Source organism: Homo sapiens, chromosome 16 (genome assembly GCF_000001405.40).
Source record: "Homo sapiens chromosome 16, GRCh38.p14 Primary Assembly".
NCBI classification, from domain to species: domain Eukaryota; kingdom Metazoa; phylum Chordata; class Mammalia; order Primates; family Hominidae; genus Homo; species Homo sapiens.
The window spans coordinates 35800736-35805004 of NC_000016.10; the positions used below are offsets into that span (position 1 = coordinate 35800736).

General features: G+C 41.2%; 1 pseudogene; it reads right to left on the minus strand.

The window, feature by feature from the left end:
• On the minus strand, positions 1355-2548 carry HMGN2P41 (high mobility group nucleosomal binding domain 2 pseudogene 41; annotated as a pseudogene).

Genomic DNA, 4269 nt, shown 5'->3' on the forward strand with positions numbered 1-4269 from the left:
TCTCGGCTAACTTCAAGCTCCACCTCCTGGGTTCATGCCATTCTCCTGCCTCAGCCTCCTGAGTAGCTGGGACTACAGGCGCCCACCACCACGCCTGGCTAATTTTTTTTTTTTTTTTTTTTTTTTTTTTTAGTAGAGATGGGGTTTCACCGTGTTAGCCAGGATTGTCTTGATCTCCTGACCTCGTGAACTGCCCGCCTCAGCCTCCCAAAGTGCTGGGATTACAGGTGTGAGCCACCACACCTGGCCAAACTCCTTCATTTCTTATCTCACACTCTGGTAATTTTGCCCACAAAAATAGTTCACTCCCCCATACCTAATGCTTTAGATGGGTCTGGTAAACATGGAAAAGCAGCAGTCTGGTGGAGACCACACAATTCAATCACTTGATCTGTGTTTACTAGCACTCAGAGAGCTAAGATTCAGACTCTGATACTGGCCTTAGAAACTTTTTCCACTCAGCCCATAAATATTATAAGACACTCAGCTTACTCTATTTACTACAAAACCTTGAGACAGCTTTAATTAAATTCACTCTGGAGCCAGCCCTGTGCACTCTTTTTCCCTGACTTCAGAAATTGCTAGATCAACGTACACATCCTATTTTTATTACACATATTCAAGCCCACAGCTCACTGCCTGGCTCATTGGCTTATGGCAATAATCAAGCAGACCTTCAAGTTATGACATCACTGCTTGACCAAGCCACAGAATCACATCAATTTTTCCACCAAAATTGGAGAAACTTATCTAAACAATTTCAACTTACACAAAGACTGGCTAAACAAATTATCCTGCAATGCCCAAATTGCCAGCTCACAGGCATATCCCCTCCTTCAAAGGTTTTAACCTTAGAGCACTAGAACATAATCAATTATGGTAAACATACGTTACACACATCCCTGAATTTGGAAAACTTAGATATGTACATGAATCCATTGAAACCAACACTCATTTAATAAGTGCACATGCTTTCCCTAAAGAGTCAACTTGATATGTCATTAAACATCTTCTTTTAACTTGTGCATTTATGGAATGGCCCTAAAAAATCAAAACAAATAATGGTCCAGCTTATGCCAGCTCAAGAGGGAAAGAATGAGTAACAAAAAGTCTAGAAGAGAGAGCGATCATAGAGCGACACAAAAAGTAACACAAAGAGGAGAGGTAAAGTAGGAAGAGGAAAAGGAAATTTTAAGAAAGTTATAGATATAAGAATGCACTTTTAGTAAGGAAGGTTATAAAACAAAGTCAGAAAGTTAAGGCATGGCAAAGATTGTCTGTGAAAGTCATGAAAAATGTTGTATATGGAAATATTGTATAATTTTTGTTTTGAATGTCTAAGCAAGTTTTGTTTTTCCAAGCCAAACTATATCCAGCTTTATTAAAGATACTTTCCATAAACAATCACGGTATTTCAGGCAGGACATGGGCAGATAATCGTTAACAGTATACAACAACTTTCAAACTCCCTTCTTCAATGGACTACCAAAAATCAGAAAGCCACTATAAAACCCAATGAAGTCTTCATCTGATGCTCTGAACGGGGAAAGTTTAGAGTGAGGGGTGACATTTCACATTTAGCATATTGTTTAACAAATTTTTAGAAGCCGACCCTGACTTTCAGGAAGTGAAATGAAAATGGCAGAATTTATCTGAAGATCTACAATCTAGAAATGGAACCACTACTCTTTTGACAGGTGCCATCTCAGTGGCATCACTGGAAAGTCCAGATTGCCTGACACACTGGTAACCAATGACTAGGGGTCAGGTCCCAACAGATGTCTGGGCTTAAGGGAGTTAAGTCTATGCTGAAAGATGGAAAGGGAGAAGAGGACATAAAAACAAATTTGTTTTTCTATACCACAAGGCTTTTGTGCCAAGGTGGCCATGTGTGTCAAAGTCAGGGAATCCCTCCTCCTGGGAGCCAAGAGGAAGTCTCTCAAAACTAGAAGGGAAAGGTGTTTTCTCCACATCAATGCAGCTTTGGAGACCTTCTGTTAGTGACATATGCCCCTTCCCCCAAAAGCAACAATGAAGTGTTCTGTGTACTAACATAGCTTTAAAAAAAAGGTAAAACAAAATTCTGCATTTTTATAAAACTTGATAAAAAATAGTATTTCAAACTGTACAGTCACCAGAAGTACACAGTTATCAAAAATGCACACACTTCCCTTGGCATCTCCAGCACCTTCAGCTTTGTGTGCCTGGTCTTTTTGGCATCTCCATATTCTGCAAGGTTATTCCCCTCTGTGCCAGCATCAGCTTTTCCCTTTTTCCCTTTGGGTACCTTCTCTCCCTTCTTTGCAGGGGCCTTTCTAGGCTTGGGCTGTCTGGCTTTGGAGGAGGAGGTTTAGCAGACAACCTTGCGGATCTTCTCTGTGGTTCATCCTTCACCTTGGCTTTATCTCCCTTAGCATCCCCTTCAGCCTTTCTCTTGGGCATGGTGGCAGTGGCGACAGTGGCGGGAGGTAGGTGCTGGATGCAGGATGCAGCGGCACACGGGCTTTGGTCTGTCGGGGGGTCTTTCTCGCCTCTTCTTTTTCACACTCTAAGCAAGTTTTAAAATGTTAATTGTAAAAAAAATTCTGTGTGTAAACATATTGGCTAAAGTTAAAGAAGTTTCATCCAGTTTTTCTGTAAACTAGACATTAAAATAAATCACAGCAGGTTTTTCTTAAAGCACTAACCTGCTCTTTAGAAAGATTATAAAAGGTGTCTTAGCACAGGCACCACCCCTAGAATTTCCAGTACACCAGCACCAGCCTGGAGACTACGTCCTCATTAAAGGATGGAAAGAAAAAAAAAACTCAAACCAGCCTAAAAAAGACCCTACTATAGGACCAGCAGCCCCAGGCAATGCTGCTTCTGCAGAAGACACACAATATAAAGAAGCAAAAGGTTGAGCCAGAAATTTTAATCCTTTTTAATTCTCCCACTTTGTCTGCAACTGGTACCTGCTACACTCTATTAAGCTCATTTCTTAAGTCCGCCTTTTTTCTGCCCTGTTACTTTAAAAAACACCCCCTTCTCATCTTCTAACAACGTGACTGTTTAACTAAAAAAAATTAACATAATGGAGTTCCTCATTAATGGCATACAATAAACTGAGATGCCAAATAACACTACAGTCACTCTTTGACTGGAAAAGAATGTTGCTAACTGTACACATGATGGTTTTATATTATTTGCTAATTCTAGGATGCAAAGCTGGAATAAGAGCAATGACTGCCACACCTGACAGACCTGTCGCTGAACACATCTGCACTCTCCAATCCAAAAGACCTGATGCAGAAAACAAAAAAGGGGAGATGTGGTGGTTTAGTCAGGCTGGTTGGAAAAAAAAATTAGTTATAATAGCCACAAACCCTCTTGGAAGGCATGAGATTTTGCATAACTTTGGTAATAAATCTGGCTGAAGGCAGCCTAGTCCCCTACATTTCATTAAATAAATTAGAGTAGAAACAAAGAAATGTGAGGAAGTTATCTAACTATCTTGTTTAGTCATGTAGTCCTAAGATTAACTTTTGATCTGCCATGGGTGCTTAATTGCTTTCTACTTGGAAGGTTGGCAATGTCAATTACCCTCTAGTGGTGTTGACTCAAGCCTTTGTCAATTAGTCTTGACTGAATAAATGCGAGTCTCACTGGCTGGTTGGGGCCATGGTCACAACTGTTTACAGCATTCTCCTGGGAGTCTGTAAGCGGTCCGGATGCTCAGTCGAATTGGCAAAACAGAATATCTCTGTGTTAGTGTACTTAATTCTTCCATTGTTGAGTCAGGGTCTGCAGGCAGACCCCTTCAGAGGAGTTACAATTCAAGATAAGATTTGGGTGGGTATACAACCAAACCATGTCACCAGGAAACTGTCCTCTTTTCTTGCACTTGTCATCTGCTGTCAAAAGCTAGCTAGGTCCCAGGCAGCCTGTGCTTAGAACACAAAACTACCACAAGCCACAAGCCTTCTCACTAAGACAGAAACCATGGCTTTTTTTTGTTGAAGGTCTTTCAATTGAATGACTTATTTCACACCCCATTTTAAGTCTTCCCATTATTAACACATATGCAGCCACCTCCTGACAGCCTGTCTCCAGCTTGTGTTGGGCTCTCAGGGGAGCAGAGACCCTTCAGTGAGACTCAGGTCTGTTAGACTAGCCAGGAAGCATTCCTGCCACATGGACGCTGACACAGCACTTCCAAAGGTGTTCTCTAATTACTGGTTTCTCAAGACGGTCAAATAAAATCTGCCTAAAGCCCCTGGAAAACTGTGG